The sequence below is a fragment of the Homo sapiens genome, chromosome 2 (genome assembly GCF_000001405.40).
Source record: "Homo sapiens chromosome 2, GRCh38.p14 Primary Assembly".
NCBI classification, from domain to species: Eukaryota; Metazoa; Chordata; class Mammalia; order Primates; family Hominidae; genus Homo; species Homo sapiens.
The window spans coordinates 172,971,120-172,994,925 of NC_000002.12; the positions used below are offsets into that span (position 1 = coordinate 172,971,120).

General features: G+C 41.3%; 1 protein-coding gene across 30 annotated transcripts in view; it reads left to right on the forward strand.

Moving 5' to 3' along the window:
• Positions 1–23,806, forward strand: part of RAPGEF4 (Rap guanine nucleotide exchange factor 4) — a 317,576-nt gene that overhangs the window by 235,802 nt on the left and 57,968 nt on the right. For 28 of the 30 annotated variants that reach the window (NR_164739.1, NR_164740.1, NR_164741.1 and 25 more), the window contains 5 exons: positions 12,377–12,461; positions 14,314–14,374; positions 17,077–17,153; positions 17,574–17,720; positions 19,691–19,806. Coding sequence is in view for 27 of the 30 variants with exons in the window: in XM_047443030.1 (XP_047298986.1) it covers positions 12,377–12,461; positions 14,314–14,374; positions 17,077–17,153; positions 17,574–17,720; positions 19,691–19,806 (486 nt within the window). In the remaining 3 variants the exon portion in view is untranslated. Of the gene's footprint in view, positions 1–1,169; positions 1,500–12,376; positions 12,462–14,313; positions 14,375–17,076; positions 17,154–17,573; positions 17,721–19,690; positions 19,807–23,806 lie in introns of those variants that run through there. The other 2 variants (NM_001375875.1, NM_001375876.1) reach the window with 1 other exon arrangement.

Genomic DNA, 23,806 nt, shown 5'->3' on the forward strand with positions numbered 1-23,806 from the left:
AGCAGGTACTTTGGTTAGAGAAATATGAGTAAAAGGATCTGGAGTGACTAGGTAAACAGAGTATTGTAAACTTGAGGCCAACTGTGGATAAAAAAGAGGCTTCAAGGAGACAGGACGCTCTGCTGTACAAGCCTTCCAACCACTCCTTCCAAGTAAAGTGAGACATAGGTTCCAATGTTCAGGATGGTCTATCAGAGACCAGCCTAAAGTTGGGAGGACAGTTAAGTAGACACTGTTTCCCAAATCAAAATTTAGGTCTGCAGTTCTGAAAATGCCTAACAGTAGAAGCCTAAGTAAGTTGAGAAAGAGAAAAGTCATTTGGGCCCGAGCAGAGAGAAATATATGTATATATAAGAGAATTGTTAGAAGTTGGGGAATCTTCCAACTGGGTCAGAAACACACAAACTTGAGTTCGTTTATTTTATGTGATAAATTAATATTTCAGTTGCCCTTGGGATTTTTCCCATCTCCCTAGGTTTTTTGAAACTTTTTAAACATTGGAATTGGGCTGGCAGTTTCTTCTTTTGACTCTTTCTGCTGGAATAAGAGCTCTGAGAGATGGGAAAGTGAAAAGTAAGGAATCTAATTTTAGGAGACAGACAGTCCAACTCTACATGCACGTACACACATACCCCATTTTTTTTTTGATCTGCTAATAATCTTTGGAGTTACTATTTAATTTTACTTAAACGGAAAGAAAACAAGCTTCGTTGGTCAAGAATTGCCAGTATCATTGTTGTCTTGAAGAGACCATCTGAACACACCTTGCTCCTGAAAACTGAGAGCATGTTCAAAGGTCCTGGAAATGGTTTTTTTGTTTGTTTTCTTATTGCCCATACTCTGCTAAGGCATTAAGAAATATGGAAACGTGAGATATATTGGCTTCATATCAAACATATGCTATAGGGCGTAAAGTTGAAAGGCAACAATTTAAGATGGATTAAATGACATAAAGGCAAAATACTGTGGGCGGGGGTGGGGAGGGTATTGTTTATCCCTTAATTGGCTGCCCTAATGCAAGGCTGTCCTGCAGAGGCTGGGTGGAGACTACCCTGCTGCTGTTCGATTCCACACACTTGCTCTAGAGGGCGCGTGAGAGCCTGTGTATTGTGTCTTAATTAGCAGTGCCTGTTTTAATAGGATCTTTATTTGTCTAAACTCTTTTCCAGGGTGTGGAATTTAAAATCCTGGTAATTATAGAGGGATTTGTTTCTTCGGGGGATTCCAGATTAGCAAGCCTAAAATTGGTGGTGGTTAGGGTTTTGATTTCTGCTGGGATGTGTCAAGAGAATGTCCACAGTTACGAAGTTCATCTCAAATGTTAATCAGATGAGAAGAAAAGCACGACCGAAAGAACCTAGGCTTCTGAAGTAAGACAGTCACGGCGAATCCTTCCTTCACTGCATGGTGACCTTCACCTTGGTCTTTACTGGAAAGATTTTGGCGTCACAAGTGAAAGCTTGTAGAATTTACCTGAATAAATGATTGCATTAAGTAGGTCATTTCTCTGCCTCTCCCCATGAAAGCAATTTATTCTTATTCCTCATATCCACATGGCCTGAAACCAGCCATTGGATTGCTACCTTTATGATTAAGATTCAGGAGAGGGGAGGATGAACTTAGCTGCTCATCTACAGTTTAGAGTTTATTATAAGATTGCCTCAAGGTTTTAATGACTTTTTATTGCTAAAGTCGATCTCTTTATTGGAGAAAATTTGGAAACCACTGACAAGAGTTAAAAAAGAAGAAAAAATACCTGCAATCACATGTCTCAGTTAATTACTGTTAACATTTTGGTGCCTATCCCTTTAGTTATTTTTTAATTCCTAACTTTTTACACTTAATAACATATCACAGCATTCTCTCTTAAAGTTAAATATCCTTTAAGGATGGAGCTTTTAAATAGGTGTGTTCTCTGAATGTTCTTTAATGCATTCAGTTTGTGATCGTTGGATGTTTAGGTTGTTTTTCAAGCCCCTTTTTTTTTCTTTTTTTTTTTTTTTCTTTTTTTGAGACAGGGTCCCACTCTGTCACCCAGGCTGGAGTGCAGTGGGGTGATCTCAGTTCACTGCAATCTCCACCTCCTGAGCTCAAGTGGTGCTCCCACCTCAGCCTCCCGAGTAGCTGGAACTACAGGCGCATGCCACCATGCTCAGCTAATTTTTTAGTTTTTTATAGAGACAAGGTCTCATTATATTGCCTAGGCTGGTCTTGAACTCCCAGACTCAAGCGATCCTCCCACCTCAGCCTCCCAAAGTATTGGGATTATAGGCATGAGCCACTGGGCCGAGCACCTTTCTTCTTAAGAGCAGCAAAAAAATAATATTTTAATACTCTTCTTCCCAGAACAAAGGAAGAGCTCCTAGCCAGATAGGGGCACAGGTGGGGCAGAAAGATGCTGGGAAAGTTCCCGCAGGGAACTGTAAACTGTTTCACACCAAGGGAGTGACCGGACAGGAGCACTAGGAGATGCAGCTGGAGAGTTAGGCTGACGTCAGTGGGGGCATCTGCCATGCCCTCTGTGTACGTTGGGTATTATTTTATAGTCATTTGGGGCACCACTGAAGAGTTTTAGAGAGAGGTGTGGTGTGATCAGATTTGTAGTAGGTTGGTTTCTCTGCTATCTCCAGAGAATAGACTGGAGGGGCCAACTAAAGACAGAAAGCCAGATACTGAGTTTTATGAGATTATGTTTGTTATAGTTTGAAATGACAGCCTTTGAGATACGTGCATTTGACCCAAGAGTCTTGTAAATGAAGTGAAAATACTACTGAGCACAAGAGCTCTGGGTTCTATTCTTACCAGTTTATCATTATATCATCTAACATCTTCAGATTACAAGTCTCTTAAGGTATAAAAGGAATTCAATAATACCTGCTTGCCCTCTCCCTACTTCACAATAGATTGGAAATGAAAACACAAGTGCCAACTGAATTTAACTATAGCCACCATTTATCGAGCATCTGTGTGCTAGACACTGTGCTAAACAATTACTTAATTCAATTCCTTCAACAAAACTCTGAGGTAGTTATTTAACATTACTCCCATTTTATGGACAAGGAGACAGAGGCTTAGGCTGAGTCACTTGCCTATGGTTATCCACAAAACACTAGACTCAGGATTCAACTCAGATCTGCCTGACTCTTGAGCCTGTGCTCTTTACTGTGCACTACCATAACCTGCCATCGTCCAAAGGGGCTTCAGAATGGACTCATGGGTTTATGCTTTGAGCATTGGAAAGGAAAGGTGTCAGGGAAATCCAATTTAAAATAATTCTTACAAGGCTGGGTGTGGTGGTTCATACCTATAGTACTAACACTTTGGGAGGCTGAGGCACCCAGATCACTTGAACCCAGGAGTTCAAGACCAGCCCGGGCAACATGGCGAAAACCCATCTCTACAAAAAATACAAAAATCAGCCAGGCGTAATGGTGCATGCCTGTAATCCCAGCTATCAGGAGGCTGAGGTGGGAGAATCACCTGAGCTTAGAAAGTGGAGGCTGCAGTGAGCCGTGATCATCTCACTGCTCTCCAGCCTGGGCAACAGAGTGAGACTCCATCTCAAAAAAATAAAATTATTATTACAGACTAATCTAATTTCATTAAATTATTACCATATAGACCAGAATGGAGTTCACCATCTACTGTGGAAAAAAAGTCCTCTAGTATGGCAGATTCCCAGGCGTGCTGCTAATCCATAATGGGTTAAAATGATGATGAAGATTATTCTTTCCTGAGGGAGTTACATGCTTCTGGAACCTATAATTCTTTTATTTTTGTCTTATGTCCTGAGTTTTACTATGTATTGTCAGGAGCAGAATCCAACGGGCCATATGGGTCTAAAGTTTTACAATCCATTGTCAAACTGATTGCACAGAAATGAAGTGCTTTATAGTTTTAATTGCCATATGATTAGGGTTGCCAGGTTAAATACAGGATGCCCGGTTAAATTGGAATTTCAGATGAATAACAAACAATGTTCTGATATAAGTATATTTCATGCAATATTTTTATTTGCCAAATCCGGCACCCAACTTATAATTAATCTGCCTCTCTTCACAGCTCTTTTGAAGACTTGCTGGAAAATTTAGTCTAAAGATCACATAAAAAACACTGAAAACCCACAGCTCTGGAAAGAGTCAATTTACTCCACAGCAACCCTCTAGCCAGAACCACAAACAAAACTTAATCACTAATATTTGAATACCACTGTATAGTTTATATAGTGGTCTCACATCCGTCCCCTCTTTGAACCACTAAAAAGCTCTGTGAATTAAGTATGGCTCATGATAATCCACTATGTCCTGACAAAGAAATTGAGCTTAATCAATACCAAGTGCCTTTCTCAACATCACACAGCAGTATACGTGGCTGAACCAGGAACTGATCCAAATCTTACTCCAAGTCCAATTTTATTTCTTCTTTTTTTCTTTCATTGACAATATTATTTCCTCTCTCCTAGGTTGCCTCAAGTGTGTCCTCACTAGTGAATTTACTGAATAAGCAGTGAAATAACCACAAAATATGGATAATCTATGTCCCTGATTAATTAAGAATTGACATTTTGCAAGGAAGAAGTAACAATGCATTCATGTAGCACCTTCTCAAAAAACATTTGCATTTTCCATCTCATATGTATATTTCATCCTCAAAGGCAAGCAGTTATACTATCTGACTCCATCCAAATTTATTTGTTCTTCTCAACTTGTTGCTTAGGTGTTTTAAAGGAAAATATTTGTACTTGTACCTTTTAAAAGATTTAATGTTAAACTCTTGAGTGTCCTTGTAGTAAACACTTTTGCTGGAAGAATGCTGGGCATATACAGTTTCTAAATGTGATCAAACCACATTGTCCTAAAAACACTTAGCACTCAGAAGCCATGAATTATGGAACCCTTATCCCATGTCCTGACAGGGATGACTTCATTTCTCACAAGTATTCATAAAGCTTTTGCCCTTTATTGCAGTTATAGACTGTATTCATTTCTAACTTCACAAAGCAGAAAAGGATCCCTGTGTACACAAGCTCTGCTATTAGGACTAGAAAGGGAACTTAAAACGTCCTTTTTGGGGTTAAAGATAAGGTGAGGGGGTGGTGGCATGGCAGGGAGCTGAGCAGTCGGAGCTGGGTAGGACACTTTAAATGTGCAGTCACCAGGTTCCTGGAATGTCTCTGACACTTAAGAAGCAGGGGTCCTGAGAGGTGAGGCAAAGAAAAAACATGCTTTGCTGGTTTTGCTAGACAAGGAAGTGCAAAACTGCACTAAACTTTCCTTTAAGGGAAGTGGAAGAAGCGAGATCTTAAGATCTTAACAGTGTGGGAAAATGGTCCAAGTTTGAGAAAGGACTTAAAAGTTAGAGAATCAGGTGGATTGAGATGAAGCGTTGCATCAAAAATAAAGCATCCCCCACCCCACACACACAAAAAAATAGAGCATTTATTTTAGAAACCTCGAAGCTTGACCATGGCTTATGTAGATATTTATAATGTTGATTTCTCCGGGTGTTTTCCCCTTGTACCAAGGTCTGCTAGGTGACAGGTCTAAAGGACTGGAATATTTGCTTTCTTACCTGCATATTTTACTATGGGCCATGCCAATGTGCTGCTTGATGGCTGGATGAATCCCTCATTTTATCCATGTTCCAATAACTGAGAAGCTCTGTCTCTGACCTTGATAAATTCCTTGATAAAACTGTATTTACCAGTAGCTTCCAATATCACCTGAGCCCTCCCATCCTTTAATGTATAAACTGCTTCCCTATCCATCCCCATTTATTATCTTGTCTGTAACTAGACATTGCTGCCAGAATGCATCCCCTGCAGAAACTAGGCCTTTCCACAGCGGGATCCGACAAATCCACATCAATGTGGCACCACGCAGATTTGTAAAGAAGCAGGGATGCCTAATATCTCTCCCTGTGTCATCTGGAGAAGGACAAGTAAAGACCAGGTACATTCACCGGCTGCCACTCAGAGCAGCCAGAGAGTCAATTCACTTCCCCAGCCTTGTAGGTTACTCTTATGAAGGTGCATGGGAGTTCTCTCCTCCTGCTCGGGCACAGTGTTCCCTTTACTCTTGAAAGCCAGATTGCCTTCAGTCCTTGGGACCCTTTCATTACTGTTTGAACAGTCTGGGGGCTGATTTACAGGATCTCTTCTCCATTTTTTTTCCCCTGTCACCCCCGTAAAGACCAAAGCAGGAAAGGTGCTTAATGCCACTGTTTGCCAAGAGAAACCTGCTTTTAAAATGCGACTTTGTTCAGTGATTGTGGTGGGGAACGCTCAGTTTTAGATGTGATCAGGTGCTCTTTGAGGGGTGGGGTGGATTGGGGGAGAACCTTTGTCTGATGTGAGAGTAGAGAGGTGAGCCTTTTCTGAGACACTAGATGGCACAGCAGCTCCGAGCCAGCAGCCTCCGAGAGGCTGGGCTGGTTTCTGTTACTGCTGCCACGAACACTGAGCCCCCACTAGGGTGGGAGGGGGCTCCATTTTGATGCACTTTGGTGGGCACAGGTTGACCAGACTGACTTTTGCTCCACCTGGCCTCCTCCCTGGGACTCACCTCAACTTTCAATCCTAATGACATGTTGAGGCCCCTGAGGGACAGTGTCCTAGCTCACAGCAAATCTCTCATGAGTGCTTTTGTTGCTTTGCTAGCTGTGTATATACTCATTTTTTAAAGTAAGTCTCTTCACACCTGGCAGTCCTGACTTCTCTCACATCATTAAAACATTGGCTGTAAACAGGACCAAAAAGTTCTTTGCTGCCTGGGTGGATTGCCAAATGATAGTTGCTTGCTGTGTGATTGTTGTGACCACCTCAGACCACAGGGTTGGGGTTTTGTTCTTGCTGTGCTTCTCTTTTTTTCTTTGCAGCTTGAATGTTGTTTAGGATTCAGAAACTAAACTGTTTTTAGGCTTTGTTCCCTTTAGTCCCGAACAGCTGTTGTGGACCTCTCTGAGGCATCCAGGAGTCCCCATGGAAGCCTCTCTTTCTCTGCGTGGGTTGTTGATGAATGAAAGACCAGGAGGTAAAGCAGGCTGCCCACGTGGGCTTCTGTGCAGATGTAGTGGTCACACCCCCCCCAGAGCTTCCCCTGGAAATGCTGGGGGCTGTCCCTGCAAGGAGGCAGTTTTCTTGGCAGGCTTTGCTTTGGTAGAGGTACCTGGGGAGCAGGCAGGCTCACACCATCCCCTTTCCTCTCACTAGTTGCCAAAATAGCAAGGATTTCCTGGGAACAGAGCCCTTCCCTGCTCTTCCTGGGAGAGCTGCCTTCTTCTCCTACTGTGTCACCTGGAAGAGCCTGGGGTTTTCACACCCTCTGTTCTGCTTCTCCCAGGCTCCAGTGCTCACCCTCAGTCCTCCTGGGGCGTCTGTCTTAGAGAGCAGGTCTCAAGGTCTTGCCTGGCAGTAAATCTGCCCCTGTCCACTACTGAGTGTGACAGGCGTGGAAAGGTAGGGGCCTGACCAAGTGGTGGGGCCTTTTGATCAACCCCTCTAACACCGCCCTCTCCTGCCCTCTGGGCTGATTGACGCAGAGCTGTCTTATCAGTGATGCTGTCTTACTCCTGTGATGGTTTTCTTCTGTGAGGGTTGAGCTGCGGCTGCTTCCATTCTTGTTTCTCAGACATTCTTTTCTCGTCTGCTCTCTATTATCCAGGAATTCCTAAAACTTTCTGGTCTGCTGATAGTTCATCGTTTGTGGTGGTGGTGTTGCTCATTTGTTTTCCAATGTCATTTTGCATGTTAAAATATCTTTTCTGCCAAACCTTTAGCATGGCAGACAAAAATCTGGCTAAAATGAAGAGATTAGCAAGGTGCTGCTTGTTGGTCCTGAATGGACTTCCATTTAAACTCCCGCTGATCTCAACATAGGTACTGAGTATCTTTAGCTGGTCTAAGATGGGAATTTATTTTTCACAAACAGTTGAGTAAATCTGTAATCCTAAGAAAAATAGACCTTTTCTATCATTTTACAGAATTTGGAGTAAGAGGTGAGGCCCATCATTTTCACATCTCCTCCCTCTATTAATAATTAACTATTTGCCATGAAATAAATGTGTCCTGTACCAAAAGTGAGTTGTGCCGTGGATGCCTTGCCTTGCTTAACCTCAGTGGGAAGGACAACAGAGAATAAGGACACATCTCCCTCAGGACGCAAAAGAACTGCTCCATAGCACCACTGCCATCTCCCTTGGGCAGACCCTAAATTCAGCATGAATCATGAGAACTCGTGTGTTCACTCATACGATGAGCCATATTAAACACCCACCCTGATAACAATACCACCCTACATTTGTACTATATTTTCAGTATATACAAAGCTTCATGTATATTACCTGATTTGACCTTTGTAACAATCCCATGTATTATTCTCATTTTACAGATGCAGAAACAAGTCATTAGATCAGTTGAGCAACTAGGAAGTTCATGATTTAGATCTCAAATTCAGTTTCTGCTTCCAATCTAGTGCCTTTGCACTACCAGATACTGCTTCTCTTGAGAAGAACAGTCTAGATTTATGGATATTTAAGCAAATAACATTCGTGACAGTATGTTGTAATTACCATAGCAGTAAGACCATGTGCCACGGAGGAATAAATGTTAGAGAGTGGCCTTGCATGGTGTCTGATGCCTGTAATCCCAGCATTTTGGGAGGCTAAGGCGGGTGGAGCACCTGAGGTCAGAAGTTAAGAGACCAGCCTGGCCAATATGGTGAAAACCCGTCTCTACCAAAAAATACAAAAATTAGCCAGACGTGGTGGCATGTGGCTGTAATCCCAGCTACTCAGGAGGCTGAGGCAGGAGAATCCTTAAACTCGGGGGGCAGAGCTTGCAGTGAGCCAAGATCACACTACTGCACTCCAGCCTGGGCAAGAAAGGTCAGAGAGCCAGTTTCACTTAGGAAAGATGACATTGAGCTGGGCTTGAGGCAGAACAAAAGTATTTTAAGCAAAGAGAAGAGCATGCAAAAAGTCCTGCAGGCATGAAAAAGCTTAGTGTGTTCGAGGAATGGAGAGATGCCTGGGATAGCTGGAGAGAGAGTGTAGCTATCAGGGAAGATGTGAAGAGAGGGGAGATAGATGAGTCTAGAGAAGGAAGTTAAGATCTGGTTTCCAGGAGCGTTGTGTGATGAAGAGGGAGCACTTCTAGATAGATTAAGCTGGTGGTCCTTGTGAGTTATCTAGGAAGAGATGGCCAGGAAGCCCTTGGAACTCAGGAAAGAGGGCTGTTTGGAGAACAAGATTTAGGTCTTGTCATTATCTAGATGGAAGTTGAGGGTTTTTCCCAGGGAGAGAAGGTAGAACAAAGCCTTGGGGGCTGAACACAATACAAGGGATGGACAAAAGAACAACAAACCAAAAAGACATTGAGGAGAAATGTTCAATAAAGCAGGAAGGGAGCCAAGGGGGAGGAGCATGGGGAGAGGAGAGAGCTTCAGGCATGCTTAGTGGTGGAGGGCAGCAGTTAAAGTGAACATGGTTCAAAAGGAGCTGGAATTCTGCCATCTTTACCTCTCTTCTTCTACAGTTTGTGCAGGTCCTAAGACTAGCTGTTACGGCTCAAAGGTCAGCCTTGAACCATGATGTCAAATTTTTAGTATATGGTATTTAGGGTCTGACAGTTCTTCATCCTGTTTCAAATCTCAGATGCAATATTATTAATATGTTGAGATTTGTAGATCCAACAAGCATCATTATGTATGTGTGTGCAGAAGCGGGGTCTCACTCTGTTGCCCAGGCTGGTCTCAAACTGACCTGAAGTGATCCTCCTGCCTCGGTCCCCCAAAGTGCTGGGACTACAGGTGTGTTCCAGCACACCCAGGCAGGATAGCATTTTTAAAAAAGAAATCCATAAAAGTTGAGTAATACAGATCTCATATTTATATTATATAAACACTTTTCCTAACCTCATAGAGATCTGCTCCCAAAATTACAACTTTGAATATGTCCAGATTTTAGAGCGGAATTCTAAGCCTTTCTTTTCCCAGCTGAGCTTTTCTCCTCTCACCGTAACAGCCCACCCCATGGAGGTGAGAATGAGACTTGGTGACTGCTTTCTCTTTTAGCCAAGCTTCTAGGAGGGTTCCCTGTTATTTGCTGCTGATGTCAAGTAGCAAGAACAGCAGGGCTGCTCCTTGTGCTGAAGATCCATAATCCTATTACGCCTACCTTGAGACTTTCGCATTAGCTGCCTCTATAGTAGTAGATGGATGAAGGTGACTCGATTGACTTTTAAATCCCCAAGAGTCCCAGTTTCAAAATCCCCATGTCCAAGTCAAGTAGTAGATGAGGGCTCTGGCCGAGAAGGCCTGGCTCCTTTAGAGCCCCTGTGGCCACAGCTTTTCTTCAGCATCTTTATGGGTCCCATACTTTCTGGGTTCCACCATAAGCACGAGATTGGTGTGCATTTGTGTCCCTCAGTGGTGACCTTTAGCAGGAGGTGAACCTGGCTAGCATCTCCCGGGTCGTGGATTTAGTATCTGTCTTTATACAGTCAGGATTAGGAAGATAGCCCCTGTTGATTCCAGAAGAGAACGTTATAATATTCTTTTGTTCACGTTAAAACTGTCCTTGGGAAGGTACTGTGCAAAGTATGCAGAGTTTTCTTCCTCCAATTAGACTCCACTAAATCTGTCATCTTCCCCGTGTTAGAATATGGTTGCAAAGTTATTTAATCCAATTAACTATTTTAGAATATTCATAATTCAGTTTTGATTACTAAGAGTACTTATCTAATAATCAGCTAAGTTTCAGATGTACTCTAGCAGACCAAATGTCATAGTTTATTTGTAAGTTTGTTTAACTGCTTCTGCAAAGGTCTGAGTTTTGAATATCACTTTGCTGGGTTTTTTTCACTTACACAAATAAATATGTAGACACCTTTATGGTTGCTGCTTCTGTTAGCTCTCACATCTCTCTCAGAAAGATATTGTCCCCAGTTTTCATATGAGACTAAGACTTTGATGTCACATGGCTGGTGAGTGGTTGCACTGATTTTAAACTTGATTTTCAGACGCTAAATCTAGCGCTGTGTTTAGTACACCAATACTCCTCAAATTTCTTTGACCAGGGAACACCTTATAAATGATAATGTCATGATGGTACATCATCAGTAGCTCATCAAGGGTTTAATGTTTAATTAGTAATAATTACAGTAATATTGGATAATACCATAAATTGTTAAAATTTTAGGACAAAATGCACAAAATGGATGGTTATGTAATAGATAATATTCATAACTGCAGCAATTAGCTGAGAGTAAATGCCGCCTAGCCATCAATATATACATTGTCTCTCAGTTGACTCCCTAGAACTCTCAGGATTAATAACCCATTAGTTTGTTTTCAAGTTTCAAAAACATATTAGTTAGGATTCTTTATTTTGCAGAAAGCAACAAAAAATTCAAGTTGCTGACCAGTTGTATCTCCTACCATTAATATAAACACTATGAATGATTTCAAAATAATTATAGATACGAAAAGTGATTAGGAATCTATTCAGTCTTCCAGTGCCAAAAATGTCCACAACACCCCCATACCCTACACATGTCCTACATAATTCTAATAATTCAAGAAGAAGAAGGAAGTGGTTTCAACTTTCACAGATTATATACTGAGTCCTTGAAGGCATGTTATTGGATACTAGTTTTATAATAAATTTTAGAATAAAAATGCTTTACATAAACTGATTAATATCTGGTGGGCAGTGGTGGTTTTTGTAACAAGAGTTTGGGAATGTGGAATATACCTCCCTTCTTGCCTTCTCTTACTAATCGCAGATGCTACCATTTGCCTTCTCTTCATCTCATGCCCTTATCTCCTCAGGGCTAGAAAAGAAAATGTTGAGTCTGCATACATCCTATATTTGAGTCCTTCGGAAAAAATACATTTTATAACCCCAAATAATAGTGACAGTGGCATTATTATTCTGCTAGGCTAAGATAGTACACAGGATCTCAAGGAATTTAGATCAGTTGTCAAGTTGATTATACCAATTGTTTCTAGTGGTGTTAAAAGACAAGTTTTGCCATTACTGATTAAGGTGGTAATGAAAAGCAGTTTTTTAGCTCAATCATCTACAAAGTGAGAGATGAGTTGGCCAACTACCATGTGAGTGGAGATGCTCTTCCCTCTGAGATCAGAAGAGAAGGGATCCTGTGGACTTTGGCTTTCTCCCATATCCTTTCATCAAGGAACACATTTATTTCAAAAATCCCTTTAGGCATTATACTGGTGCAACCTCTCCCTCCGCCAATATCTTCTTGTGCAGAAGAAATCCCTGAGCATGTTACTGATGCCTGGATCCGTTTCCATGTTTGAGGCCCTAGTGATGCCCTTTTTCCATATTCCTTTTTTTTTTTTTATCTTTGTAGACCTGGCCAGAGGACTGTGGATGACCTAGAGATTATCTATGAGGAGCTTCTTCATATTAAAGCCTTATCCCATCTTTCTACCACAGTAAGTTGTCTCTTAGTTTAGCATGGTTGGAGCACTTTGCAATAAATGCACTGTTAGGACAGAGGAGAGTATTACGGTGTTGTGGGGGGAAAGAATGTCTGATTTTCACCTCATAAATCACCTCTACTCTCTTACGAGATGCTGAGGAAGTTATACCCAAGAACAATCACTGAAAGGAATCAAATTTTGTCCTATTATTGGTAGTTGCCCATGTGCCCTAAACCCCAGAGCAGCCCCATGTGAGTAGGGTTGGAACATGGGCTTCATCCCTGTGAATATGAATTTTGGAACCTGCACACTCAGATAAGAGAGCCAGGCCTGGGAGGGACTCTGAATCCTGCCATGGTATGCTGCCAGAGGGTGGAAAGAGGGAAACCTAGATGACCTGTCTTGGCTTATGGGGCCAACTCCACCAGGGTTTGCTGCCTTCTTGAGAATGGAAGCAGAAAGTTCAAGAGAGCATCAGCTCAGATGTATTAGTGAAAATAACACCACCCACTAATAAAAAATGACCCAGTGGCTGTATCTGATTCTGAACTTTTACCTGATTAGAGTATTTAGGAGACAGAAATTTTTTGCCACTGAATAGGGATAGGAACACCTCCTCCCTTAAGAATATGATTTTTAGGAAACACACATGTCCTACACACTAATAAGTTAAGAAGAATGAAGTGGTTTCAACTTTCACAGAGTATATACTGAGGTCCCTAAGAAATATCTAGATGCCTAGTTTGTTTTCATTCCTAGCTCACTAAAAGTGGTGTTCTGCTACCTCACAGTAGCAGTACCTGCCAGTCCCTGCTGTTGGGGATAAGTTCAGGTCTCTGTTGAGAGCAGCGAGGCATTTGCCATAGCTCCAAGCAAGAGGGCTTCAAGTCCCCTCTCCCCTTCAACCTAGACAAACCTCCTTCACATATCTCCCACCTCTGGCACCACTGAGGGTCTTGAGACTTGCTCACCTATGTGGACTACCCAGGGAAGTGGTCCAGCCCAGCCTCCCACCTACCTACCACTGCCCTTGCCATCCTTACTCTCCACAGGGCATAGATGTAGTGCCTGGGAGCCTCACCTGGGAAGCCCTCATATATACAGGGCAGAAAGCTGAGGCTCCATGAGCTAGTGATGTAGAGGGAAGTAAGGAAGGACCCCTTTCCCTGCCTGTGCTCCAGGGACCCAGCATGTCCCGATCCGACTTCCCTGGTCTCAGTGGAATTGAGAGGATTGTGGGTAGTCTCGTCTTCTACCTCAAACCCCAGGTACCCAGGCATAGAAAAATCTCAAGTTACTGGGTTCTTAGGAAGATAGAGCCATGATTTGGGACCGTAATTTGGAATTTTTTTTTAAATGTGAATTTTAGCTAGCTAGGAATAATTTGGAATTTTAACTAAGAATATAAATGTGTTCGTTCATTTAGGCTTCATTATTCAGCTTCAAGACATAGAATTTTCCAACATGTTTGCCATGATGCATTATATGTAATGCAAGCAAGAGTCACTAGTAACAACAGAATCATGTGATGTTGCACATGGTCTCCCCTTCTCACCCACAGCCAAAGACAGGCAGGCAAGTGGGCTAGTTAATGCAGGTGGGACCATGTTTGAAACAGTCTCTAAGGAGGTTGCCTGGTATGAATTAGCTATAAGCTATTCTATAAAAAGAGCTACAAGCTTTAAAAGCCTAGCAGCAAATCGAGTAGAAGTGATTTTAGATGAGAGCAGCAGCAAGAGAGGTGAGAGATGACTGCATGGGAAGCCCCGGGACAGTTTGCATTGTGCCCCCAGAAAGAGTACAACCCTTTTCCACCCAGACCTGGAAATGTGGCCTTTGCATGTTTCTTCTGTTTTTCTTCTAGGTGAAACGAGAGTTAGCAGGTGTTCTCATTTTTGAGTCTCACGCCAAAGGAGGGACTGTGTGTAAGTGAAAAGCTGTACTGGAACCTTGCGCCTGGCCAGCACCCTTGCAAGCACATGCCACGGGAAGCCAGGCTGCTAACGCCTCACTTCTTGGCCCCGGGTCTGGCTTGGTGACTTGGCAGGGTGTCCTGTGGTACTTTCGTTTTTCTGGACCTGTGATTATTTCCAGCACATGTCAATTATTCTGAAGTATCGTGGTTTTCTAGTACCAGCAAGTGTTGTGGGTGCCAGCCTGAGTCTCACTGGCTCCCTACCCTCCTGACTCACCACAGTGTTTAAAGAGGGTGGGATGAAGTCACTGCCCTTCAGGAAGGGCCTGAGGCAGTACCTTTTCCCAGTGACCTCATTTCGTTCATAGCTTTAGAAGAACTAATCGATCTCTTGAGGTTGTTAGTTAGAATGATATTTAAACCATCCTACTTTATTTTTCTTCTCTCACTTCCACTTTAAGCTCCAAGCTGGAGAGAATTTCTTTGCTTCAAATACATATGCAGTGTTAATCTATAGTATCTCACCAAAATCCAAGTTGCAGTTTAGTTCTGTGATCATATTTGGAAGCAAGAAAAGGAAATTTGATGTGAATAGATGTGAACAATATTATATAAGCTGGCATTCCTTACTACTCCTACAAAAATCTGGCTGGAACAAACAGGGTTAGTGATCTACTAAGGTCAGGAAATGCCTCTCCAATCTCTCTTGCAGAATCACAGGACACAGCAGCATGCTAATGTGTTCTCAGAAGTTCTGCAATAAGGAGAAATGATCACCACGTTTAAACCGATACTTCCTGAGCCTAATGACACATAGAACACTTTTTGCATGGACACCTGTTAACTCTTTAGAGACAGTTTGGAAAATCTTGCTCTTTCTTCAGGCTACATTGTATGAGTCAAATAAGCAGGAAACATTAATTGTAAATGTGGTTTTTTTACTTTCAGTCATCAAAAATGATATTTCTGACATTGATATCTATTTTAGTAAGAATGTAACTTCTTCAAATGTTCAAGGCTTACTTTAATATTTTTATCTTAATGGTTGCTAATGACTTATTCTTTTTTATTTTCTTTTATTCTTTTCATTCAAACTTGCTAATTGTTTTCATTTTATTATGAAATAGTTAAATATTTTAAACAAAAAATAGAGTATATTACAATTACCTTCTTAATCTTTGTCAGATAATAACATGCCATTTTTTTCATATTTTCTTTTTTTTTTTTTGAGACGGAGTCTTGCTCTATCACCCAGGCTGGAGTGCAGTGGCACAACCTTGGCTCACTGCAACCTTCACCTCCCAGGTTCAAGCAATTCTCCTGCCTCAGCCTCCCAAGTAGTTGGGATTACAGGCGTGTGCCACCACGCCCAGCTAATTTTTTTTTTGTATTTTTAGTAGAGGCAGGGTTTCACCTAGTTGGCAGGCTGGTCTCAAACTCCTGAGTTCAAGTGATCTGCCCGCCGTGGCCTCCCAAAGTGTTGGATTACAGGAGTGAGCCACTGCACTCAGCCTTTTTTCATATTTTCTAAAGAATTAAATTATACACGCTGGGTGCAGTGGCTCATGTCTGTAATCCCAACATTTTGGGTGGCCGAGGCAGGTGGATTCCTTGAGTCCAGGAGTTCGAGATCAGCCTGGGGAACATGGCGAAACCCTGTCTGTAAAAATTAGCAAGGTGGATTGGTGCATACCTACAGTCCCAGCTACTCAGGAGGCTGAGGTGGAAGGATCTCTTAGGCCCAGGAGGTCAAGGCTGCAGTGAGCCGTGATCACGCCACTGCACTCCAGCCTAGGTGACAGAGTGAGACCCTGTCTCAAAAAATAAAAAATAAAAAATAAATTATACAACTACACTTGAAGACCCTTTGTACCCTCATTTATCCCATTTTCATCTTTCCTACCCCAAGGTAACTCCTACCCTGAATGTAGTGGTGATCATTCTAACTCACTTTTTTAAAAATACAGTCAGTCCTCTACATCTATGTGTTCCACGTTTACGAATTCAACCCACTGAAGATCAAAAATATTCCAAAAAAAAGAAAGTGGATGGTTGTGTCTCTACTGAACATGTACAGACTTTTTTCTTGTTATTATTCCTTAAATAATACAGTATAACAACTATTTACATAGGATTTACATTGTATTAGCTATTATAAGTAATCTGGAAATGACTTAAAGTATACAAGAAGCTGTGTGTAGACTATATGCAAATACACCACTTTATATCAGGGGCTTGAGCATCTGTGGATTTTGATATCCTTGGGAGGTCCTGGCACCAATTCCCCATGGATACGAAGGGACAAGTGTGTGTAGGTATGTATCTGTAAACAATATATAGTGCTGATTTGCATGTTTTTAAACGTCACATTACTTGTCAGATTACATTTTAGAGCCATTTTTCTATGGGATAAGTTTTAATGAATTGTGGAAGAAATGTGTATGGCTTTAAGAAACAGATTGCTGATAAATTGATATCTACTAAAAACCTATGTTTTAGGGCATAGCAAGGAATGCAGTGTTTCTCTTTCTTTTGTATTCTATAGAAAAGGAGATAATGTGCCACCTGAACAAGTTAATATTTGCCAGTGATGTTTCTCGAATTTTACGTATGCATATTTTCTGGGGACTTAAAGTGATGATTTGATAAGCTGTAATTTATATTGATGTGCTTCTATTCTTATCATAAGTCTTTTCATCTTTTTGTGTCTAGTGTTTAACCAGGGGGAAGAAGGTACCTCCTGGTACATTATTCTAAAAGGATCAGTGAATGTAGTCATTTACGGCAAGGTATATATATCTTTTTCTTTTTGAAACTTTATTACGCTCCACTTACTAGTGTGGCTCTAAGTATTAGCAATGTAGTGCCACAATTAAATTTGCAACAACATTGCTCCTAGATGTAGAAAAGACATTATTGTATCTTTAATCATAAGTTACCTCAGTTATTATACTTAAAGTTGTATTGTACTTTCTGGGGTTTGTCTCCTGATGGATTATAGTGTGTACATTTAAGTTAAGCCACAGACCGTATTACTCAGTGAAAGCAAAGTGAACATCATAATGTAATTATGTAATCCCCTTTGGCATCGCTAGGTACAGCCCATTTATCTACAATGTTTTAGGGGCTTGGGGGTCTTGTGGCAGGAGGTGGTGGGTGTTTGCTCTATTTCAGGGATCTTCTTCATCTGTGTGCTCTACTCTATCCAGGGTGTGGTCTGCACCCTGCATGAAGGAGATGACTTCGGCAAGTTAGCACTAGTGAATGATGCCCCACGAGCTGCCTCTATCGTCTTACGAGAAGATAACTGCCATTTCTTAAGAGTAGACAAGGAGGATTTCAACCGGATCCTAAGGGTGAGTCCAAAGCAAAGTGTGGCTGAGAGACAGCCCATTTTTTTCTTTAACTAAATAAGCAAAGCTTTGAGCATAGTCTTAATTGAGTAGTCCTGTGATGAATGAGTGCTCTAGGCACAAAGGGCCTTTGTTACAAACCGGTTATATTTAATGTGTTGGTATGCATTCTGGGATCCAGAGGTTGTATTCCAGTAAAGCTGCAAATGCAGGATGCTATGCTGGACCCAGTCCCTCTATGCATCCCTGCACTGGTCCATGAGAATTGACGATAAATAGGAATTGCCTTGGCAAAATGTCAGTCTGAGAAGTTTCTCTCTGACATCCTGGGCATCCTTCTTTTTGTCCTTCCCATCCCACTCTCCAACACAGTGGCAGCCCCCTCTGCCCCTTGTCTTTCTCTTTCCTAGACCTTCCTAGTTTCCACCTCCTTCTCCTCCCAAATCTGAGCCTGTCTCATATCATCATACATTCCCTTGATTTATTGAGTGATTACATTTTACTGAGAATTAACATCTATCATGGTTACTCCAACCAAGTATTTTCATTTTCAAGGGCTTTATCTCAAATTGTTACAAACTAAAGGAATTTCTGACATTGGCAGGCAGGTGAATAACTGGGGTGGTAGAGGGAACTATGCAATTGCACTTAAAAGTTGGCTCTGCAGATGAGCCTACTCTAAGCATATTAAGGAATTTGTGAGTGTGGGTGATGTTTAGAAAAAAATGGTCTCTGGTCTCTCCCCAGCATGCGGTCCCTTGTCCCTGGGAGGGATGACTCTGCTTTGGCTGCTTGAGGCCTGATCATGGACTTTTAGGGATGGTGACGATGTCCCACCACCCGTGGCTTCTCAGGTGGCCTGTGGTCCTTCCCGCCCTAGCTTGAGTTCACTCAGGAGGCTGTTCTTTCTAGGGTCACACTGCCCCTCTTTCTTTCACTGCTGACCCACAGAGCAGGGTCCCTTCTGTCCCTCTTGCAGCCTTAGCATCCCTATCCCCTCCTGAAGTCCTAAATGTAGCTTTTGTGCTTTGGGGTATATTCCCGTTACTTAATGATGATTTACAATGTCATGCTCCTGCCCTTGTGTCTGGACATCAATCCCTACATGGCCTTAAGCATTTGCCTTTGGTGGCAAAATTTCTGACAACTAAGTTTGTCTTAGGAATGCATGGTCTTAATGCAAAAAAAAAAAAGAAAAGAAAAAAAAAGGCTAAAATGTATACCCTTGAATGATATATTAAAAAAATACCAGATGGAATTTGAGTTGGTTCTTATCTGACCTCTTTTTAAATGAGGGCCAAATGTTGAGGAAAAGCATGTTAAAATTTTTAAACTAACTATTTACAATGATATTGAAATTTAAAGGTAAACTGTACTAACTCCTTCAAGTTTACACACAAGGAGTTTACATTCAGCCAAAACATTCTTTGAACGAATCAGATTAGGACCATTATCATTGATGTAATTTATAAAATCACTTAAAATAACCAAAAATAGTTTTTAACACATTTCAAACAGATTTTTCTTAAAAACAAAACAAAACAAAACAAAGCAGTCTTTTGATTAAAGAGAAAAGGTGCCCCACTCCTAAGGAAACTAAATACACTTAGGAGAAAAAGAACTTTGCTGAAGCTGCTTGCTATTTACCACATATTTTTATAACTAATAAATGCCTTTGCTCCCCACCTTCCTGCTCTACTTCCTTCTCCCAAAGGTTTCTCAGAGCATAACCACACTATGCTTTATTCTGCTGTTTTTCTGAAGCTAGGGTAAAAGCAGTCTTAAAAACACATGCTTCAAACCTCATCTGGTCCTCTCTCTGACCGTTCCAGCCCTTGACTTTGAAAATGACTTAATTTGTAGACGCAACAATTAGCATGACAAGCACCAAATGAGTTTCTGAAGCATTTGAAAATTTTTTCATTGTCTGAGTAAGCGGCAGCATCTGTATGTGGTGTAATTTGTATTTGCAGGACGTGGAGGCGAATACAGTCAGACTTAAAGAACATGACCAAGATGTCTTGGTGCTGGAGAAGGTCCCAGCAGGGAACAGAGCTTCTAATCAAGGAAACTCACAGCCTCAGCAAAAGTATGTTTGCATCCAACACTGTAATTGCCAGACTATGATTAACCTTTTCACATGGTATCATCATTTCTACAATAGCATGTTCTCCTTTTTTGTGGAAGATGGCAGTGTATGTGACTTTTTTCCTCTCTATTGACTAATCACACATCTTGTGGAGTATAATGTATCCATTTCTGGCACAGCATTGAGCCGGGTGCTGCCTAGAGTAATTCGGGAGAGAATATTCCTTTACTCTAAAAACCACTCTTTGTATACAGTGTTCAACTGTAATAGCTGTGGAACAGAAGGCGTGTGAGAGAACAATGGGAATAGCAATGCCAGGCAGCTCAAAGGATATGAAGGCCCCTGGGTGATGAGAACTTTTGGTATTTGAATTTCGTATGCAGGATTTCGCGTGAAGTGTTTTCCTCTTGTTATCAGAATGAGCGTCTTTGATGGAAACCCAGACTTCCAATATAAAACAGTCTATTGATTTCAGCCCAGAAGCATCCATTTGGCCTCATTCATACTTTCCTGCTAATGTCAAAAGGCCATTAGCTTCACATTTCTCAGATGTCCTGTTTAACTTGAGTCTTTTTCAGCATACCGATGTTCAGTTCCAGCTTTTGCTGCAACTTACTACATAAGACTGCATCAAATGTACCAACATTTGAGTGGTAAGACAGAATAGAAAATGTGGCTCTAAGAAATTACAGAAAATTGCAGAATCTAGTTTTTAAAATGGAGATTAATTTTCAATCTTAGTGTAATAAAAACACCAATTCTGTAGCTAAAGAAATGTTGCCCAATAATATGTTGAAGGAGAATGCATCTCAAGTAATTTTCCTTTGTTTGCCAAATAAGCAAGATGTTTCCTTTATCAAGGCATTCACCATAAATGATTAATTTTTATTGTTTAGACTAAAAGTCTAAGGCCCAGACATTTTCATTTGGGTGAATCAACATATTTGCAAAGAGGGCAGGAAAAAAGATAATATTATTAAATAGCCATAGTATATTTTGCAGATTTTATAGGATTCTTATCATATTACAACACCTTTTAAAAGATGGAGAAATTTATGCTCAGAGCCACAAGTTACTTGCCCAAGGTCTCAAAGCTTGTAATGGCAGAGCTTGGATTCAAGTCCAGCTTGACCAGTTTTCACATGCCTATCCCCCTTCCACCTGACAGCTTACTATAACAAAATATAGTAGATAAGACTACATACTCAACACTGTTTAGTAAATATTGCAAACCACTCCATATCGAAAGAACTGACATCAAAAGGACTATGTAAAAAAACTACCTGTCACTTACAAAACTATAAAATTACCATAGAAATTTCCTTATTATTTATTGTTTTCTACTGTCTGTTCTTGAAATTGTTCTTGCCCAAATGTTTTTAACAGTTTTCCTTCCAGTCCACTAAGGAGGATAAGAATGAAAACATTTTTTTAATGTGAAGGTTGGGACTGCTTCTAGTGATTTTCTTTGGTTCCCTTAAATACCTGGTGTTTTATCTGTATTTTAAACTAATGCTTCAGATGTCTGGGGAAAATTATGCTTACTGAAAAGGCAAGCCTTGAGAATTCTCCTTAACCTAGAAACATCTGATCAAGAGGTTCCCTGGAGGTCCCCTTGCTTGACTTCTTCATGTCATTGGGGAATGATCAAAAGCATTTGCCTGTTACAATGGCTTTCATTCAGGGTGTTCTCCAAATATAGGTTTCTTATGAAATCAAACTAAAAGGAATGGAAAAGAAGAGACCGTATGTTTTATTATTTTAGGCCTGATCTGATTTTCTATTATATCTCCTTATTTGTGTCCTGTATTCCAATCCAAATTTCTTCCGCAATTCAAAAACTTATGCATGTTCACAATGAGCCATTTAAGAAATATCAGTGAGTACAAATTAATGTACCACACATAATCATTTCCCTGAAGAATGAAAAGCTGCTCTCTCAAGGGGTCATTTTCCATGTTGAGCTTTCCCAAATGAGACCAGAGTTGAAGGGGAGGGGGGCATGTAGATAAATATGGGGCTGATATTCCGGACTTCAAAAATGTGGCATCAACCATGTGTATGGATGGACTTAAAATTTAGGAAGCTGTAGGGCCTCTCCTCAGAAATTATCCTTTTTGAGCTCAAAAAGGGTCACCATGTTGGTGCTGCTAATAATGTTATTTTTCTGGTTCATTTTTTTCCCTGAAAAATCCAGAATAGTTTATGTGCACATTTTTAACTTTCAAAACCTCCTGACTCTACCTAAGCATCTCAACTCTGAGTGTGATATTAAAAATGTCAATAATAAGACAATATTTGCCATGAAGGATAAATTCCATGGAGCCCTTAGTCGTTTACTGTTTCGCATGTCTTTCTGCTGTGTGGTTATGCGGGTTTAGTAAGAAAGAATTTGAAATGCATATTCCTGTTTTCGTTACTGTGTTGCTTTTATCTTAGACTGTTTTCTCATTGCTCAACTCCATCCTGTGTGCAGGAAGACAGTCTCTTTCAGGTCCCCTTCTCCACACCCTTCTCTATTCTAGGAACAGATTGTAGTGTCCTCATTTGCAGAAAAATATTTTATGTCAGAGGTTTAAAACTTCATAGCTTATATAATGTAACCAATTGGAGTTTGCTTTTAACTTGGACTAGAGTCGCTCTTTCATGAAATAAACTGAAAAGGGTCATGCTGTGTGGTCTTCAAGTGGTCCTGACCTCATTTTAAACAGAGGCCAAGCAGTAGGTGCCTGGCAGTGGACAGTGGGAAACAAAGCCGTCACGTGATGTTTCAGCCAAACCCAGAACCCCAAGAACCCAGAGGGCTGTGTCTGGCCAGAAGTTCCTGGCCCCTCCATCTTGGAGTCCCCCACCCTAAGGGAATGTTAGCACCTAATAGCCTTCTGTGGAGCTGTGAAGAGAAGCTGGGGTAAGGTGGCCACAGCAACTGTACCACGAGAGGAAGTCTTTGGTAGCAAAAGAAAGATCCTGGGGGTCTCCGACTGGCCAGGTGGGCAGAGCTTAGAGAGGCCACTTTCTAGAGAGGTGATCAGGCATCTGGCTTGCCTCTCAGATCTCTATTACTTTTGACCAGCCATAATGCCCTAGCTAAAGGATGTCCAAACAAAGAATACCAGAATGTGAAGCCAACCTTCTAGTAGAATTAAACTTTTGACAAGGGGACACATTTTACAAACTGATGTATGAGTCACACGGCTAGCTATAGAGCTTGCAACTTCCCAGCAGCCTGGTGCCACGCGAAGTAACAGACTGGTTTTCCCCCCATTCAGTTTTCATGTTATGGAATGTACATATACTCCTATTGAAATAAAACTCGTTTTCAGAAACAAACTGAACAAGCCCTCTTTAGAGGAAGGTTGTTAATTACATGGAGAATTTCCTGTTCTGAAAAAGCTCCAGGTAGCTAGACCTGGTCTCCATGTGGAGCGTCTTGCTGTACAAGCAGAAAAGTGCCATGAAACTCATGCTTGTTCTCTGAAGCCAGACACACCTGGCTCATGTCAGAGGTCTCCCATTTACTAACTCTGTGACCTGAGGCATGATGCCTCCCCGTCCTGAGCGGTCTCTCCATCTGCAGAATGAAGATAATATTTAACTAGCAGGAGTAAACAGGACGACCTTATTCAGTGCCCACCTAGCTGTCTAGGGCATAGTAAACATTCGACAGATGTTGCTCTCTCTAACCCCGTTTCCTGATTAATGTGGCCAACGCTACTCTTCTTCCAGCTCATCTGGTGAGTGCTATCAAAGAATCATATATTTCAGGAATTACTGAATTAATTGAGCAATATTCTCTATTTCAATATCGAAAGTCATTTATAAATATGCCCTCTTCTTTCCTCAAATATGCATTGCCCACAAGAGGAAAAACCATTGTCTTCTACCTTATCTCTTTTGAGAAAGGGGTCAGACTTTTGAGATGAAAGTAGACTATTTTTTTTTTCTATTCCCCTTCTCTCCTCCTCTAGGCTCCAAAGCCAGGTTTCCTCAAAGACTTAAC